The sequence below is a fragment of the Homo sapiens genome, chromosome 1 (assembly GCF_000001405.40).
Source record: "Homo sapiens chromosome 1, GRCh38.p14 Primary Assembly".
NCBI lineage: Eukaryota > Metazoa > Chordata > Mammalia > Primates > Hominidae > Homo > Homo sapiens.
Window position 1 is genome coordinate 114,438,814 of NC_000001.11, and position 18,849 is coordinate 114,457,662.

The following is an 18,849-nucleotide window of genomic DNA, read 5'->3' on the forward strand; positions in this document are numbered from 1 at the left end:
TATTCTTAGCAGTAATTTTAAAGGATTTATACTGTTAGAATTTATCTTGTTGCAAATGTATATTGTTCCTTATTTAAAGCTCTATATGAAGGGGAGATGATAACAACCATAAGAGTTCAGGAAAGGGACAGAGAGTAGGAAATGTGAGCAACTGTGAGGAAAATCTGAAAGGGTAGAAATTTCTATAAAGTATGAGAAAGACATTAAAATCCTCACATAAATAGAACAGGGAGCAAAAGCTAACTCTAATTAAATCTCAAAAATCACAGTGACATCACCTGATATTTCAATTACCTAAGACTTCATTAGAACAGGATGTCACTTTCTATTGCTGTCTTCAAAATCATTTATCTTTTCTCCTGTAATATCTAATCTTCTGGCTGGGCACAGTGGCTCACGCCTGTAATCCCAGCATTTTGGGAGGCCGAGGTGGGCAGATCACGAGGTCATGAGTTTGAGACCAGCCTGACCAACATGGTGAAACCCCGTCTCTACTAAAAATACAAAAATTAGCTGGGTGTGGTGGTGCATGCCTGTAATCCCAGCTACTCAGGAGGCTGAGGCAGGAGAACTTGAACTTGGGAGGTGGAGATTGCAGTGAGCCAAGATTGCGCCACGGCACTCCAGCCTGGGCGACAGAGAGAGACTCTGTATCAAAAAAAAAAAAAAAAAAAAAAAAAAAATCTAATCTCTGTTAATCCTACCCAAAATGAAGCCCTCCATCAAAAAAAAAACAGTGAGCAGTGAAAAGTCATTAGTACATTAATACATGTATAATTGGCATCCCCAAAGGAGAAAAACAGAGGAAGAGAAAAAATATTAGAAATAGTAGTTACGGATAAAAGTTTTTCAAATTTGATGATCTATAGCTCTAAGAAGCTCAACATCCCCCAAGCACAAGAAACATTCAGAAGACTACACTAAGGTATATAATTTCCAAACTGTTTAAAACCAGTGATAAAGAGAAAATATTAAAAGCAACCAGAAGAGAAAAAAGATACACTGTATACAAATGAACAAAAATAAAACAGATTTCTTGATGGAAACAATGAGAGTGGAGCAACATCTTTAAACTACTTAAAGAAAACTTTCAGCCTTGAATTATTTATCCAGAAAAGTTAACATGAAGGTGAAACTACTAGGAGTGATAAAGATGTTCACTATTTTGACTGTGATGATGGATTCACAGTCCGTCACCACAAAGCAGAGATCTAAAACCTATACCACTACAAAGCAGAGATCCAAAAGTGTTATGACCTTAACATAAGGGTATACTAAGAGTAACCTGCCCCTCTATCACCTCAAAAAGACTGAATGACAATAACAATGATTCTGTGGAAGAGGAGGGGGGAGACCCTCAGAAGTTGTATCCACAAAACACTTCACATGTGAATTTTCAGACCAAGTGCACATCATCTTGGTGGTTCAAAACTTCATTCCGGAAATTTAACTGTCGGAAACTGGTAGTGCTTCTAGGCAATAGCAACAGGAAATTCAATCCTTTATTGTGGAAAGAAAGTATCTTAATTTTAGACCAAAAAAAAAAAAATTGCATAATTTTTCAAGGAAAGAGGAAAGTTCATAGTTTTAAAAGACTACATATATAAGGAAAAACAGCACCCTAAGCAAGAATCAACAGAAATAACAGGAAGAACTGACTCACTAACAGAGGCAAAATAAATACATGTACTCTATTTAAAGAATAAAACACAGCTAAAATGTTCAGGCAACTATTTAAAATTTTAGATGAAGTATACAAAAGACCTCTTTGAACTTTTTTTGCTATCTAAAAATAAAGTTTTTAAAAGGGGGAGGAGCTGGCTGATTTAAAATATTTAAATTATAATGGATGGGTTTTAATGGCAGTTTAGACATAAAGAGAGTATTTGTGAACTGAGATTGTTCAGAGAAAAGTGTCTCCCTGTTTTGCATTTTCAATGTAAAAAAAGGGGGGGAATACAAACATTAAGAGAAATGGAGAATGGATTGAGGGGAGTCTAACATACATCTAACTGGAATTCCAGAAGAAGGACCAACAAAGAATGCAACACATGGAATATGTGAGGAGATTACTGATTGAAAGACACAATCACAACGCACATTTTTAAAGACATCTTTGTTATTCTTTACACAGTTTCTTTAGGTATACTTCTGTGTATAAATTACGTATCTTGTGACTCTTAAAAGACTTTTAAGACTCTTAAAATACAAAGGCCAGGCATGGTGGCTCACCCCGTAATCCGCAACAATTTCGGAGGCTGAAGTGGGAGGATCGCTTGCGGCCTGAAGTGCAACACCAGCCAGGGTAATAAAGCGAGACCCTGTCTGGACAAAACATTTTAAAAAATGACTGGGGGTGGTGGCACATGCCTGTGCTTCCAGCTACTTGAGAGGATCACCTTAGTCCAAGAGTTTGAGGCTGCAGTGAGCTATGACCACACCACTGCTCTCCAGCCTTGGTGACAGAGTGAGACCTCATCCCCTTAAAAATAAAAAAGTATGTAGTCATTATTTATATGAACTAAATTTGCCTATTTGCCAAGAAATATTCAAAGGGTAGGGATACCACAGTAAATAAGGTAAAATAAGGTCCTGTTCTTCCTTTCCTTACATTTTAATTAAGGAGAAAACAAAAATTTGAATAGGGTGATGTGATAGAGAGGACGTTAAGTGGCTAAACATTCTACATTGGATACATGCACAGAAGGGAACTCTTGAAGACGTGATGACAACGTACAATTATTTCAAAGATAGGAACTAGGCATGCACAGAGAGATAACAGATGAGCTGTAAATAATCAGAGGTAAAGCTGCATTTTTGCAAAGGAAAATGACCAATTGGTTTTATTCTTTGCAATAATTTTGCCATTTAATAAAATTTTCACATGGGATACTTCTCAACCCATCTGCCCTCTTTGCCAAATGGGTAACTTTTATCTGTGAAACTAACGACTCTGAATGTGTTTCTTCCTCAAGTCTTCTCTCCTGATATTCTTCTCTTTCAAGTTAACTCTTAGCCATATGGAATTATTCTCCTTCTAGCCATAAGCAATGATTCTGCTGGGTAACTGACTCATTGAACCTATGGGCTCTTCAGATAGTTTGATATCCTAATAGGATCAGAAACTATAATATGAAAATTAATGAGGCTATGTTTCAGCAATACCCAAATGAATTAATTCAAATTTTAAAGAATACTCAAGGGATGAACTATTACGGAACCAAATACTCAGTATCAGTCTCATACAGACTACACAACTCCAAGATAGCAAGGACAGAGCACATTTTTTCATTATTGTATAGCTATCACCTAGCAAGGTACCTGGTATACGATGAGTACTTGAATATCTACCGAACAAATGAGATCAATGAATACTCATTTGTTGAGTGAAGTTCAATAAACAAACCATTTTGTCTGACAATAAGTGTACCCCATGAAAAAATTATGCTTGGATAGGAAATCTTTATTTGTTGCCATAGCTCTGAATCTAGCTCCCTAAGAGGACTGACAGTAGATATGTATTTACTTATCACTTCTACAAAAAATGTATTCAGATTCTTCAACTACTTGGATTGCATCTGAAAGAATTTTTAGGGTCGGGCATGGTGGCTCACTCCTATAACCCCAGCACTTTGGGAGGCCGAGGTGGGTGGATCACCTGAGGTCAGGAGTTTGAGACCAGCCTGGCCAATATGGTGAAACTGTCTCTACTAAAAATACAAAAATTAGCCGAACGTGGTGGTGGGCGCCTGTGATCCCAGCTACTTGGGAGGCTGAGGCAGGAGAATAGCTTGAACCCAGGAAGTGGAGGTTGCAGTAAGCCAAGATCGCACCACTGCACTCCAGCCTGGGCGACAAAGCAAGACTCTGTCTCAAAAAAAAAAAAAAAAAGAAAAAAAAAGAAAAAAAAAACTCTTAGAAGAATTTACGGAAGAACTAAAAAAGTGAGTTTCAGCAAAGGTTCTTTTAAAGCTATGAATAATGCAAACTACCTGGGATGATTTACCAGTATTCTTAAAAGATTGTAAAAACAATTTTTTATATCCAGGCCATAATATAAGATTCTTATCTAACTAGCCTGGAATAGGAATGAGGCATCAATATATTTTTTTAAATCTCCCTACTTTTAATATAAATTTAGAATTGTGAATATCTGCTCTCAAGTTTATCCACACAAAATCTTAATTCAAAAGTCCAATTCTAAGAAAAGCTATTCCTTCCCTTCCTTTTCTTCTTTCCCTTCTCTCTTCCTCTCTCCCTTTTTTTTTTTTTAAATAATGGAGATGGGGGCCAGGTGCGGTGGCTCACACCTGTAATCCCAGCACTTTGGGAGGCTGAGGCAGGTAGATCACAAGGTCAGGAGTTCAAGACCAGCCTGGCCAACATAGTGAAACCCCATCACTACTAAAAATACAAAAAAATTAGCCAGGTGTGGTGGCATGCACCTGTAATCCCAGCTACTCAGGAGGCTGAGGTGGGAGAATCGCTTGAACTCAAGAGGCAGAAGTTGCAGTGAGCCGAGACCATGCCATTGCACTTCAGCCTGGGTGACAGAGTAAGACTCCATCTCAAAATGAATGAATGAATGAATGAATGAATGAATGAATGAGATGGTGTTTCACCATGTTGCCCAGGCTTGTCTCCAACTCCTGGACTCAAGCGATCCACCAGCCTCAGCCTTCCAAAGTGCTCAGATTACAGGCGTGGGCCACTGCACCCTGATGAAAAGCTATTTCTTTAAGAAAATATTTTAGAGAAACCTCACTTATATCATTCAAGTAACTACCATCATAAACTATCTTACTCTTTAATAAAAATATCTGATACTAGGTTTTAAGTAGCCACTCTCTCTTAAACAGTATCTTCAAAAACAATCTAAAATTACTCTACTCTAACTATACACAAAACTGCAATAGGGTATAAAAAATATTAAGGTGGAGCCAGGTGTGGTAGCTTATGCCTGTAATCTAAACACTTTGGGGGCCAAGGCAGGAGGATCACTTGAGGCCAGGAGTTCGAGACCAGCCTGGGCAACACAGTGAGACCCTGTTTCTTAAAAAAAAAAAAAATTAATGTATGAAGGTGGAACAAAGGTGACTTTCACTTTCAGCCAGGACACAGTGACTGGTACCAGACTAGCCCTTGTCACCAAAAACTATAAAAGAAGACAGAAATACATGAGGCAACTATATTCAGTCACTGAACCACATGCAGACAAAAATTTACATTCCTTTAAAGAGCATCATAATCATCCTACCTCTCTGTCTGTAGACAATTTTATGATAACTGGAACAGGGGGCTAGAGGCGAAGTAGAGCAGAGGCAAAAATCACGGTGTGGGCTCATGAGTGGCTGAAATCCACGGGGCAGGGCACTGGAATGGAGGGAATGATGTAGGATGAGAATGGGGAACAGAGGGTAGATAGAGGGAAGAGAAGATATTGAATATGTGTGAATTCCTCACAAGTTCTTGGTCAAAGTCTGGGCTATATATGACAGGGTGAGATTACACAAAGTTTAGCAGACTGCCGTTGCTATAAAGTTGACACTGGAAGAGAAGAACTAGAGGTCATGGATTTCTAGAAGAACTCAGCTTGAATTCTATCTTCAGAGGAGACAGACTTTGTTAATCTCCCTGGGATCTACCTGAGAAACCAGAAAGGTCACCCTTAAAGGACTATACCCTGGAGTAAGCTGTACCTTAGGCCTGTCCTAACAAAACCTAAATAAAACCAAGCCTTGACAAGATCGTCTAAGAAACAAGGTTCAGAAATTGGGTACCACCAACTTAGAAAGGCTTGGGAAATGACTTGGGCTTTCTACAGATCTTCCCTAACAAAGCATAAAACCAAGCATACACAAGCTTACAGTAATTTAAATGCCTACAAGAACAATCAAGTCTTCAGAGGAAGATAAAATTTCTAGAATTTCTACAGTGTATTGTCCACAATGTCCAAATCACAATAAAAAATTATCAGGCATTCAAAGAAATAGGAAAGCCTAACTCACAGCAAAGAAAAAAGTACTCAATACAAATTGACACCAAGATGATCTAGATGCTGTAATGAGCTAAAAGTTTAAATGGGCTATTGTATATTTATTCAAACCTTTAAATGAACATAGGTTCTTAGTGAACAAACTGACAGGAAATCTCAACAGATAGATGGAAACTACTAAAAGAAAAAAAGGAAATTCTAGAAAAGTACAATAACTGAAATGAAAAACGTCACTGGATGGACTTAGCAGCAAATGGGAGATGTCTGAAGAAAGGGTATGTGACCATCAACACACATCAATAAAAAGTATCCAGTGTGAAGAAGAGAGGGAGAGAATAAATTCAAGAAAAATGAACAATCATCAGGGACCCTTGTGACAAAATCAAATAGTCTAACATACGTGTAACTGAAGTCCTAGGAGACTTGGGGTGTTTTTTGTTTTTGGAGATAGGTCTCACTCTCTCACCCAAGCTGGAGTGAGCACAGTGGCATGATCACAGCTCACTGCAGCCTCAACCTCCTGGCCTCAAGCGATCCTCCCACCTCAGCCTCCCAAGTAGCTGGGACTACAAGCAAGCACTGCCATGCCTGGCTAATTTTAAAAAATTTTCTGGTAGAGATGGGGTCTTACTATGTTGCCCAGGCTGGTCTTGAACCCCTGGGGTAAAGTGATCCTCTCACCTCAGCATCCCAAATTCCTGGGATTACAGGCGTGAGCTACCACAACTGGCTGGAAAATCTGTTTTGAGGAATAATGGCCAATTTCCCAAATTTGATGAAAATCAGCTCAGCGAACGCCACAGAGGATAAACAGAAAGACAAACATATCTAAAAACTCCATGGTCAAAAGGGAAAGGCCAAAGAAAAAGAGGAAATCTTGAAAGCAGCCAGAGAAAAGCCATAAAACATTCAGGAAGGAACAATACGAGTGACATCCAAAACAATGGAAGCCAGAATACAAAGTAGTAATATCAATATCTTTTCAATGTTGAAAGAAAAAACTGCCCACCCAGAATTCTAGAGCAAATTATCCTTCTAAATTGAAGATTTTTTTTGTTTTTGTTTTTGAGACAGAGTCTCGCTTGATCACCCAGGCTGGAGTGCAGTGGGGTGATCTCAGCTCACTGCAACCTCCGCCTCCTGGGTTCAAGCAATTCTCCTGCCTCAGCCTCCCAGGTAGCTGGGACTACAGGCACATGTTCCCACGCCCAGCTAATTTTTTGTATTTTAGTAGACAGGGTTTCACCATGTTGCCCAGACTGGTCTCGAACTCCTGAGCTCAGGCAATCCACCTGCCTCAGCTTCCCAAAGTGCTGGGATTACAGGAGTGAGCCACTGTGCCCAGCTTAAATTGAGGATTTTCATATGACAAGAAGATGAGAGTATTCATTGTCAGCAAACCTGCAAAACAAGAAATGCTGGAGAATATTCATTAGACCAAAGGAATATAAGAGACAGAAACTCATATATACTGGAAGGAATAAAGTGAAACAGAAATGGTAATAAATTGGTAAATATGAAACACCAGCTTTTACTTTCTCTTCTCATAACTTCCTTAAAAGACAGCTTTTTTTTTTAAGTATTGTATGTTAAGGTATATAATGCATGAATAAATGATGTGGCAATAGTACAAAGGATAGTAATTGAGTAAAATGAATAATCCTTTTGTAAAGTTACTAAAACCATACAATATTTTAAGTAGACATTAAGTTAAAATTGCATATCACTATCCCCACAGCAATCGCTAAAAATAATAAAGTACAGCTTAAAAAGCCAACAGTAGATGTAAAATGGAACACCAAAAACTATTTATAAACTTAAAATAATGCAGCAAAGAGACAACAAAAGAACAAAACACAAAAAAAGAGAAATAAAAAACAAATACTAAATGGTAGATTTAACCATATCACAAGTTATATTAAATATAACAAGATTATACATTCCAATTAAAAAACAGAGAAAGGAGCCTGGCATGGTGGCTCATGCCTGTCATCCCAACACTTCGGGAGGCAGAGGCGAGAGGATCACACTTGAGCCCAGGAGTTCGAGACCAGCCCAGGCAACATGGCAAGACCCCATCTCTATAAAAATTACAAAAATTAGCTGTATGTGGTCTCAGCTACTTGGGAGGCTGAGGCAGAAGGATTGCTTAAACCCAGAAGGTTGAAATGTTTGAGAAGTAGCAAGAAAGCCAGTGTAGCTGTAGCAGAGATGGAGGGATAGGCAGAGTAGTAGCAGATAAAATGCGTGTATAAGGTCTTTAAAGCCACTATAAAGATTGACTGAAGAGTCACTGCAGGTTTTGAGCAGGGGAGTGATACAGCCCAACTTAGGATTCACTCTAGCAGTTGTATTAAGAATAAATGGAAGAGAGGTAGTATTAGAAGCATAGAGACTACTGCAGTAATCTAGGCAAGAAATGATGGTGGCAGAGACCAGGGTAGAGGCAACAGAGGTAGTACGTGGTAGGAGTTGGTGATATATTTTGAAGGTGAAGCCAAAAGGATTTCCTGATAAGTTTGGATTTGGGTATGAGAAACAAGTAGAGTCGAGGATGGTGCCAAGATTTTTGGCCTATGCAACTGAAAAAAAAAATGCAACTGCCAAACTGAGATGAGGAAAGGCTACCAGTGAAAAAAGGTTTGGAGAAAGTGATCAGTAGTTGAGTTTTGGAAGCGTTATGTTTGAAAAAGTAGACATTCAAGTGGGAGATGTCAGAGTCTGTAGGGCAGACAAATCTGAAAGTTCAGGAATAAACAATGAGCTAGAAATATAAATTTGGAAATCAATAACATATAGATGGTATTTTAAGCCCTAAGACTATACGTATAGATAATGGTGTAAACCCTCGTACATCCAACCTAGAAGAACAAACAAAATAAGCAAATGAGATTGAGAAAAAGTAATCAGTAATTAGTAGGAAGAAAATGAAAACAATGTGTTCTTCTGGTAGCCAAGTACATAAATGTGTTAAAAGGAACATTAAACATGTGAAATACTGCTGATACAATAAGGTATCAAGATGAAAACTGAGAAAACACTTCTAAATTTAGTCATGTAGTGGTTATTCATGACCTTGAAAAGAGCAATGTTGGTACAATGCTGACAGTCAAAAGCATGTAAATTTACACAGAATGGGACAGGAGGAATTAGAGACCATAATTACAAGCAATTCTTTCAAGAAGTTTTTCAGGGACAGCTCTGATGGCAAGGAAAGGAAGTTAAAGAGAAGGATTCGTGTTTCATTTTTAAAAATGGAAGAAAAACAGCAGCATACTGAAATATAGGAATAATTGTTAGAGACTGAAAAACTGACAGGTTAGCAGAAAGAAGGGCAAATTTCTGAAACAATGTCATTGGCTACATGAGAGGGGATGGAACTCAGTGTATAAGTAGAGAAATTAGCTTTCTAAAGGAAGAGAGTTCATCTAAGATAACAGAAATGTAGAAATATGGGTACAGGTGCTTGTTGGAAAAGTAGATGTGGTAGAGGGAGTCTGTAGTTCTCTTTTGATAGCTTCAATTTTCTCAGTGAAGTTGGAAGCAAATGCCAGTATTTCAGAGTGAGGATGAAGTATTTGACATTTAAAAGAGGGAAAGGTATGAATATACAATATGACTTCCAGACAACATTAACGGTCTACTTGAGGGAAGTGGTCAGGAATTGAGAATGTGACCTATTGGTATCATTATGCTAGAATGTGTTTTTCTCCTGTGATATTCAGCTGGATAAACAAAATATGATAGGAAGGAAGTCGGGTTTAATCAGGACTGTAGTTATGCCAAGTGAATTCAAAAAGTGGGATATGGGAGTCAAGGCTAAATGCAAGGGAGTGATTAAACTGATTAGCTATGACATTAAATAAGGAAGGAGTTAAATGAGATCACAAAGGGATGAGGTAAAGTGAAAGGGTAGTAGGATCAATGGATTAAAATAAAAGTCACTGTGTGGTTGAATAATTGTAGAAGTTTCGTACTAAGCAGAATGAGCTGGAGTAACAGATGTGGCCACAGAGAGGAATGCTTAAAATTGAATAGAATTATTACAAATGATAAGATCTAGTATATGACTATGCATATGAGTGGCTACAGCAGTGTAAATGACAAGAACACTGGAAAGGAGGTCAAAGAACACAAAGACTAGAGTGTCTGAAGGATCAAATCCACATATATTAAAATTGCTAGGACTTAATAGTAGCATTCTACAGTTTACCACTGAGTTAGGGAAAAAAACCTTTGAGAGATGAAGGGGAATGACCCAAGGGTTTTTAGATGACAGCAGCAATGAGAGGTTATGGGTGATGACATGAAATTAAAATCCGGATATTTCAGGGAGTAAAGAGAAAGAATGGTCTAAAAAAAACAGTAAAAAGACGTATCTCATACCTCCAGGCCCAGTCATACACGAGATGTGAAAGAAAAAAAAAGTCACCAGTCACGACAGTTGCAAGAGAAGCAGTGTCCATTATGCCAAATAAAGCAAAGAAAAGGATCAAAAAAGAGGCTGGGGATATGCAGATTCTGATGACATGCCAACAATTCCAAAGGACAAAGTGGCAGAATCAGGCACATGTAGAGCCTATGGAATTAAAGTGTGACAGATGAGGGGACGTCTGGGAGTGTGGCACTTGTGGCACTCTCTTGGGTAACAGAAAAATACAGATAAAAAATGTAACAATATTAGTCTAGTAGATACAAGGCTGATAATGATGGAGAGGCTGCAAATGGTGGTGGTAATGAAGGATGCAGTTTGGGTCTTCCTCTTGTAAAACTGTCAATGGAAAAGAAATTCTAGTTTCAGCGAGTCAACCCTATCTCCACCTCAAACGAGGATTGAAGAGTAAGAGAGTGTGGTCTTAAAAGTGACTATTCATTTCAGGAGAAATAAATACATTTCTCCAAAATATATTCTCTCCAAATTTATTCCATCTTGCCCCATGCTGCAATCGCTAATGTTTCTCATGAACTACCACATGCCAAACTTGTCAGCATTATTTTTCAAATGACCCAATATAACAAATTTAATAGACATGGTTCCATTTTTTTCCTGGAGACCTTCTTCACAGGATCCTCAGTTTTCATTCCTCATTCTAAATTATCTTACCCCATGGCTGTCATTTTAGGCATTCCCTTACCTTTTACTTTCTTGGTTTACTAACTTATTTTGGTGAATCACATTCTCTAATGGCTTTCCAAAAAGAGGTACATAAGAGGCAAAGCTTCTCAATACTTGCATGATGAAACATGTCTACATTTTATTCTCACATTGATTTATACTTTAGCTACAGAATTCTAGATCAAGGCTGGGCATGGTGGCTCACGCCTGTAACCCCAGCTACTTGGGAGGCTGAGGCAGGAGAATCGCTTGCACCCGGCAGGGGCAGAGGTTGCAGTGAGCCAAGACCGCACCATCGCACTCCAGCCTGGGCAACAAGAGCAAAATTCCGTCTCAAAAAAAGAGAATACTAGATTGAAAACCTTTGCCCTTCATCTCCCGACTTTCTTTTAACAATCCTGTTGTTTTGTTTTGTTTTGTTTTTGGAGACAAAGTCTCAATCTGTCACCCAGGCTGGAGTGCAGTGGCATGATCTCAGCTTACTGCAACGTCTACCTCCTGGGTTCAAGTGATTCTCGTGCGTCAGCCTCCCGAGTAGCTGGGACTACAAGCATGCACCACCACACCCGGACTAACGTTCCTATTTTGATTCCTATTTCATTGCTGGCTTTGGAAACTAAAAATTTACTAGAATTTTTTTGTATTTTTAGTAGAGATGGGGTTTCACCATGTTGCCCAGGCTGGTCTTGAACTCCTGAGCTCAAGTGATCTGCCTGCCTTGGCCTCCCAAAGTGCTAGGACTACAGGTATGAGCCACCATGTCTGGCCTAACGTTCCTATTTTGATTCCTATTTCATTGCTGGTTTTGGAAACTTCACTGATCTTAACCTTAATCCATAGCATACTATCATTTTATGATGTTATACACCTTGATATGGGTCTTTTTAAAAATCATTGTTCTGGGCATTAAATGGGACATTTTATCCTGGTGACTCTACATTCTTAGATGAATTTCTTGCAATAGTTATCTAATAATTTCCCAACATTTGTTTTCTTTTTTCTATAATTTATACTGGTCTGCTGGAACTCGTAATTTTTTTCTTTTAAATATTCTTCCGAGGGTGAAAAGGTCTCTAAATCCTAAAAGAGAGGTAGGAAGGGACAGTGAAATGAAAAAGCGCCATTACTAGCAATATGGAAGCAAGTCAGGGAGACTGAAGGTCCCCAGAGCTTAATGGACAGATTTATACTTAATCTCCCTGATTTCAGCCTGGTACTTCCTCCCCATGTGGACCTAATATCCCCAAGTCCAGTGCCTCTCTGATTTTATTTCTCCAGAGAATAGGTCCATTTTTTGTGACACCTATCATCTCTAGGTACTAGGTATTACAGGTTCCTGAGAAATATATTGATTGGCTTCCTTCATATCTCCTTTGCATGGCCTTAGATCATTCAATCCCATTAGGTCAAATATCAGATCCACCAAATCTTCCATTCATTACCCTGCTTTAAAAAAAAAAAAAAAAAAGGACTGAAATCCCCATTGATGTCTCTTCTCCCATTCTTAGTCTTTGTAAGTCTACAGATTTTTTAATTCCTTTAATGTGAATAGAATTTTTGGAGGGAGATGGAAAAACCCCATGGTTTATCTAGAAACCTAGTAATGTTCTCAGGTACAAAATTTCATGCAGTTCTATAGCTGCTTTCCTTTTTCAAAACAACTTCTAAAGCCATAAAGTAAATCGAAGACTTCAATTAAAAAAAAAATTTAAATAAAGAGAAAAAAATAAAACATGTGGGCTGCAACTGTAATAACAGCCAATAATAGCTAAACTGTTATTGAGTGCTTACTATGCTAAGCACTTTATAGGTACAATTCTCAGTGCTTGTAATCCTCACAACAACCTTATAAAGTTGGCAGTATATTTCACTTAAAAGATATACACACAAAACATAGCTCATCTTTTTCACTATGCAGCAATTATTTTAATTTAAACAAAAATTTTAAAAAGCAGGGAGAGGCAAGAAAAAACAAAACACAGTTTTAGACTGTATAAATGGATGATTATGGAATGAAGCTAAATTCAGAGGAAAATTTACATCTTTTTGATTAACTGAGGTTTCACATAAGATTCTAAAAAGAATACAGCAAAATCAAACTAAGCAAAAAATTAATAAAGATAAAAGAAAACTGTGAGGATCAGAACACTTCTAAAGAATAAATGAATTAAAAAACTGGGTCACTAAAATGACCAATAAAGACCACAAACTTATGGCCAATCTAATAAAGAACAGGAAATAAACTCAGCTAGAAAACATCATAAACAGGCTGGGCATGGTGGCTCATGCCTGTAATCCCAGCACTGGTGGGCGGATCACGAGGTCGAGAGATTGAGACCATCCTGGCCAACATGGTGAAACCCCGTCTCTACTAAAAATACAAAAAGTAGCTGGGCGTGGTGGTGTGCGCCTGTAGTCCAAGCTACTCAGGAGGCTGAGGCAGGAGAATCGCTTGAAACCGGGAGGCGGAGGTTGCAGTGAGCCCAGATCACGCCACTACACTCCAGCCTGGCAACAGAGTGAGACTCTGTCTCAAAAAAGTAATAATAATAATAAACAATCATAAGATATAACTACAGATCTTCATAAAATCTTAATGTTTAATTCAACATTTTTTAACCTCTACTAAATAATTTTCTAACAAAATATAAATTATCACAATTGCAAAGTTGACTCAAGAAGAGATGGGAGCTGGGTGCAGTGGCTTATAAGTGTAATCCCAACAATTTGGGAGGCCAAGGCAGGAGGACTGCTTGAGGCCAGGAGTTCAAGACCCGGGCAACATGGCAAGACCCCATCTCTTAAAAAAAAAAAAAAAAAAAAAAAAATTAGCCAGGGATGGTAGTATACACCTGTAGTCATAACAATTTGGAAGGCTGAGGCAGGAGGATCACTTGAGCCCAGGAGGTTCAAGGTTACAATGAGCTATGATCATGCCACTACACTCCAGCCTGGGTGACAGAGCAAGACACCCTGTCTCCTAAAAACAAACAACCCAGAAGAGACAGAAGACCTGACTGACTCAATAAGCGTATAAGAAATTGAGATTCTTAAAGAACTCGCCCTAAAAGTCCTTAAGTCCAGAGCGAGGAAGAGGGGGTGTTGGTAGGGAGGGAAAAGAATGGAGCAGAAAGCGTTAGTTAAGACACACAGAAGTGGATAGGCACAGTGGCTCATGCCTGTAATCGCAGCACTTTGGGAAGCCGAGGTGGGCAGATCACTTAAGGCCAGGAGTTTGAGACCAGCCTGACCAACATGGCAAAACTGCATCTCTACTAAAAATACAAAAATTAGCCAGGCGTGGTGATGTCCACCTGTAATCCCAGCTACTCGGGAAGCTGAGGCATGAGAATCACTTGAATCCAGGAGGCAGAGGTTGCAGTGAGCCGAGATCATGCCACTGCACTCCAGCCTGGGCAACAGAGAGAGTCTGTCTCAGGAAAAAAAAAAAAAAAGATACAAAGAGGTGAACTCGTTTTAAGGTTAAATGGCTCTCCTAATAAATACAGGTCTAAGAAACCGCATGTACAAAGTTGGAGGGTTAGGTAGAGGGTTCTTGCTACTAAAGTGTAAGTGGAAGATAAGAGATTGTTTAGTAAAAAAGTTAACTTTGCCCAAAGAGAGATCTAGCCTTTGCCTTCAGTCCCTGGCAGGTAATCTCTAACCCCCTGAAATGTCCTGCCTGATGAAATTATCTTTGTTTGCCTGGGGACTTGAGCCAAGCTAGATAGTCTGTGTCAACAATCTGATTTACAGTGGGAGCTCTGGGTCACACAGTCTCATATCAACCTCAGGAGGAGCTGTCCTGGAGACTGAGGTCTACCATGTGGCTGGTGAACCACATCTATGTGACAGAGACTGACCCAATAAAAATTCTGGACACCAAGGTTTAGGTGAGATTCCATGGCTGGCAATATTTTGTGCACACTGTCACACATCACTATCAGGAGGTGTTTATGATGTCCATGGCTCCACTGGGAGAAGACAACTGGAAACTTCACATTTGGAACTCTCCTGGACTCTGCCCTGTGCATCTTTCCCTTGGATGATTTTAATCTGTATCCTTTCACTGTAATAAACATAACTGTGAGTATAACAGCTTGCAGTGAGTTCTGTAAATTCTAGCAAATTATCAAACCTGAGTGTAGTTTTAGGGAATCTTGATCTTACAAGTGGTGTCAGAAGTGAAAGGAGTCTCGTGGATTACTCTCTAATTTTATAGTTAGCATCAGAAGTGGGATCAATTGAATGACCCTGGCTTACTAAAACAGGTGGTTTGCGAAGAGGGAGGATGAGAAGGTGGGAATTGATAAACCTTTAATTCTTGGATGGGTACCCAGTCATGGTATGGTTGTATAACTGCAGCTGCAGTTACTAGAGGTAAAAATTACCAATGGAATTTAGAAATGGTAGACCCAATTCCAGAGGAGTTGAACCACCAGATAAACAAGGAAATGCAAACTAATAAGAAAAAAAGTAGGCCAGGCATGGTGGCTCATGCCTATATACCAAGTACTTTGAGAGGTCCTGGAGGAAGGACTGCTTGAGCCCAGGAGTTCAAGACCAGCCTGGGCAACATAGGAAGTCTTCATCTCTACAAAAAAATAAAAAATTAGCCAGATGTGGTGGCACATGCTTGTAGTCCCAACTACTCAGGTGTCTGAAGTGAGAGAACTGCTTGAGCCCAGGAATTCAAGCCTTCAGTGAGCCACTGCACTCGAAGCCTGGGCAATAGCACAAGACTCCTCTAAAAAAAAAAAAAAAAAGTTAATGAAACAATTCCTTTGTTACTGCTACCTGTACTAGCTAAAATGAAAATACAAGAGAATGTTAGGACAGATCTTGACACTGGGCCAAGCTCAGACTTCAGCCAGTCTGGGCTGCAGTCACTAGTCTCAGGGTCACTCCAAAAGGAAAAATTATGCTGGAACATTAGATAGCATGTCTGTGACTTCCAGTTACAAGGAGGTAGTCTAGGTATGAGAAAGACAAAACCAAGAAACTACTGAAACCAGGGATTATAGTACAAATTGTCTCATTTTGTTGATCAACACTATCAGCTTCTGGAATAAAAACCTTTACTAAAATGGACTGTGACAGTGATTGACTTAGAGGCACAGGATCTTTGGTTTTTAATGCTGTAGAATGGAAGAGTGTGTCTAGGTTGAAGCGAGACCCACAGCTCACTACTGTACAACCAGAGAAGGCTATACATGATCCAGACACACCAGCAGGTTATTCCCAAGGGGACAGCTAGCCCAGTGGACTAGATATAAAAGCCACTGTAAAGTGTGTTTACCTTGAAAAGGGCAACTATCCTCCTCCTCCTATAAATGCCAAATTGAACTCCCCAGAATAAGCAGCTGATAAGCTTCTTATGCAAGCTACACTGGACTGACATGATGATGGGATAGTCAGGAGATGACTATGAGTGACATGACTATGACTCAGTATGCCTTATGGTATATGGTAAATACTGTGATTGAGGGGGCCCCTTTTGCATGGATACCCCCATGTAACCTTACTGCTGTAAAATCTAGCAATAATCTGAGAAGCCTTATCAGAAGTATTGTCTAAGCTTCCCTTTACAGGTCTTAACAGATGCTAAGAAAATCAGAGTTAAGTCATAAGAAAACAGGGAAATAGTAGAGTAGAGGTCAAGGAATTTATCCCAGGAAGATGGAAATCTACAGATGGTTGTTTTAAAATGGGATGAATAAATTGAACACAGATGGAATTGAAACAAAGGTCTTAATGCAGCATTACCATGGGACTGGATAAACCAATGAGAGCCCCAGCTAGTTCCCAACATTAAAGGGCCTTAAACTAACTATGCTGTATTTTACCCCAGTTTGGGAAGATTTAAAAAGCCAGGGAACAAAGATGACAATAAGCAACCTGACCTCAAATTGCCTGGGACAATAGTCTGGCAGATTACTCAAGATGAAGACAGAGAGGTCAACCAGCAACTGGGGAACTAAGGCAATATACACGTGTGGGTAAAAATGCCAGGGGTAGATAAGAGACCTTACTAAAACTCCTTGACAGGGAGGCCCAAGGCACCATAATTCTAAATCTTGTTGAAGTCCTAACAGGTGTTAAGGTTAAATTGAAAGGTGACAGCTAATGGGATTAAGGTAAACATTTAGATTAAAACTAGAATGTCTCAGCTGCCTTTATGTGAGGTGGTTACGTCTTCATTACCTGAATGTACTATTGGGATAGACAGTATGTTTGACTGAAAAGTACACCTGTCTAATATTGAAAACAGAAAGCACGTAAGTTCACCTTGAGGTCAATGTTGATGAGAAATGCTAATTAGGAACCACCAGAACCACCCAGGCCCTCAGAAGTTGTTAATTTTGGACAGTGTAAGGTACTGCCTGATGAAATTACCTGTTGGACAAAAAGAAATTACCATTTTAATGAAGAATTAGACAACGGAGTGCTGGTGCCAATGAATTCTTTGTACAATAATCCTGTGTGGCCTATGAAAAAAGCAGATGGCTCATGGAGACTAACAGTGAACTATGAAAGCCTGAAGTAGTTCCGCCATAGCATCAGCAGTTCCTAATATGGTCTCAACAGTACAAAAAACATATAAAATATATAGCAGGCCAAAGGAAAACAGTACTCAGGGACTAATCTTGTGAATTTCTTTTTTTATTTTACCTCCATCCTCAAAAAGAGCCAACCACAATTTGCCTTTGAGTGGGAGAGATCCCAATTTGCACTTACTCTATCACCACAGGGTTATTTCCACTCACCAGCTTACTGTCATAATTTGATTAGGAGAAATTTAGAGTTGATTCGGGTCCCCACATGTAATAATATAGTATACTGATGATGTCATGATACTATCAGAAACTGAAGACCAAGGCAGGACTAATTTAAACGCAATGGTGATAAAAAGTTTGGGGAATTAGGGGAAAAAAGCAGTGATGACATGTGACCAACAGGAGCTGTATGATAAATCCAGCAAAGGTCTAACGGCATGCCTAAATGGTGAAAAAATCCTTAGAAATAACCAGAGTAGAAGCATCCTGTGATACTCAACAGAGAAAGAAAAATATACTGCTGTAGCCACCTACCCCAGCACTAAATAAGAAGCCCAGTGTTTGGTTGGGTATATCCGTGTTTTGAAGGACACATATTCCATATCTGGGAATACTGCTTGCTCCTATCAATAAAACTCCCAAAAAGAGGCCTACATTTCAATGAGGCCTGATCAAAGACAGGCTGTATCTGAACTGCAGAAAGTAGTCTCTCTAAATACTTTCCAGCCCTATGATCCGCCATGATTTTGTCCATGTCCGGCCCTATGGACATTCCGCCATGATTTTGGGAAGTGTCAGCCACACATACTAATGCAGACTACAGCTTATGGGCAAAACCCTATGAGTGCCACCCAGCAGCAACCACTAGGATTTTTGGACCAGAAGATGTCCAGATGCCATAGTACAATGTACAACACTGTAGAAAAAAATAGCTACTACAGGCATTAACTGAGACTGAATCTATGACTGAAGGACATAAAATAATCCTGAAATTCAAAACAGCCATAATATCTTAGGTGATGTCGGAGAAACACTAATAAGGAAGGCAGTGTCCAGAAGAGTTCCCTATAAAATAGAAATAGTTTGCACAGGATTTACAACCAGGAGAATGCAAAGAGGTACTCATTATATTTATAAGCAGGTAGCTTCTTTTTCCCTAAGGCTGACTTTGAAACTACCTG

General features: G+C 39.2%; 1 protein-coding gene across 7 annotated transcripts in view, besides 1 other annotated feature; it reads right to left on the minus strand.

Moving 5' to 3' along the window:
* TRIM33 (tripartite motif containing 33) overlaps nt 1-18,849 on the minus strand; it is a 118,414-nt gene that overhangs the window by 46,024 nt on the left and 53,541 nt on the right. The gene's annotated exons all lie outside the window — the stretch shown is intronic.
* Nucleotides 14,694-14,988: a silencer, noted in NCBI's record as "tiled region #2420; K562 Repressive DNase unmatched - State 25:Art". NCBI's record gives its function as "represses a minimal TATA promoter and a strong SV40 promoter by Sharpr-MPRA in K562 cells {active_cell/tissue: K562}" and the evidence as "EXISTENCE:reporter gene assay evidence [ECO:0000049][PMID:27701403]".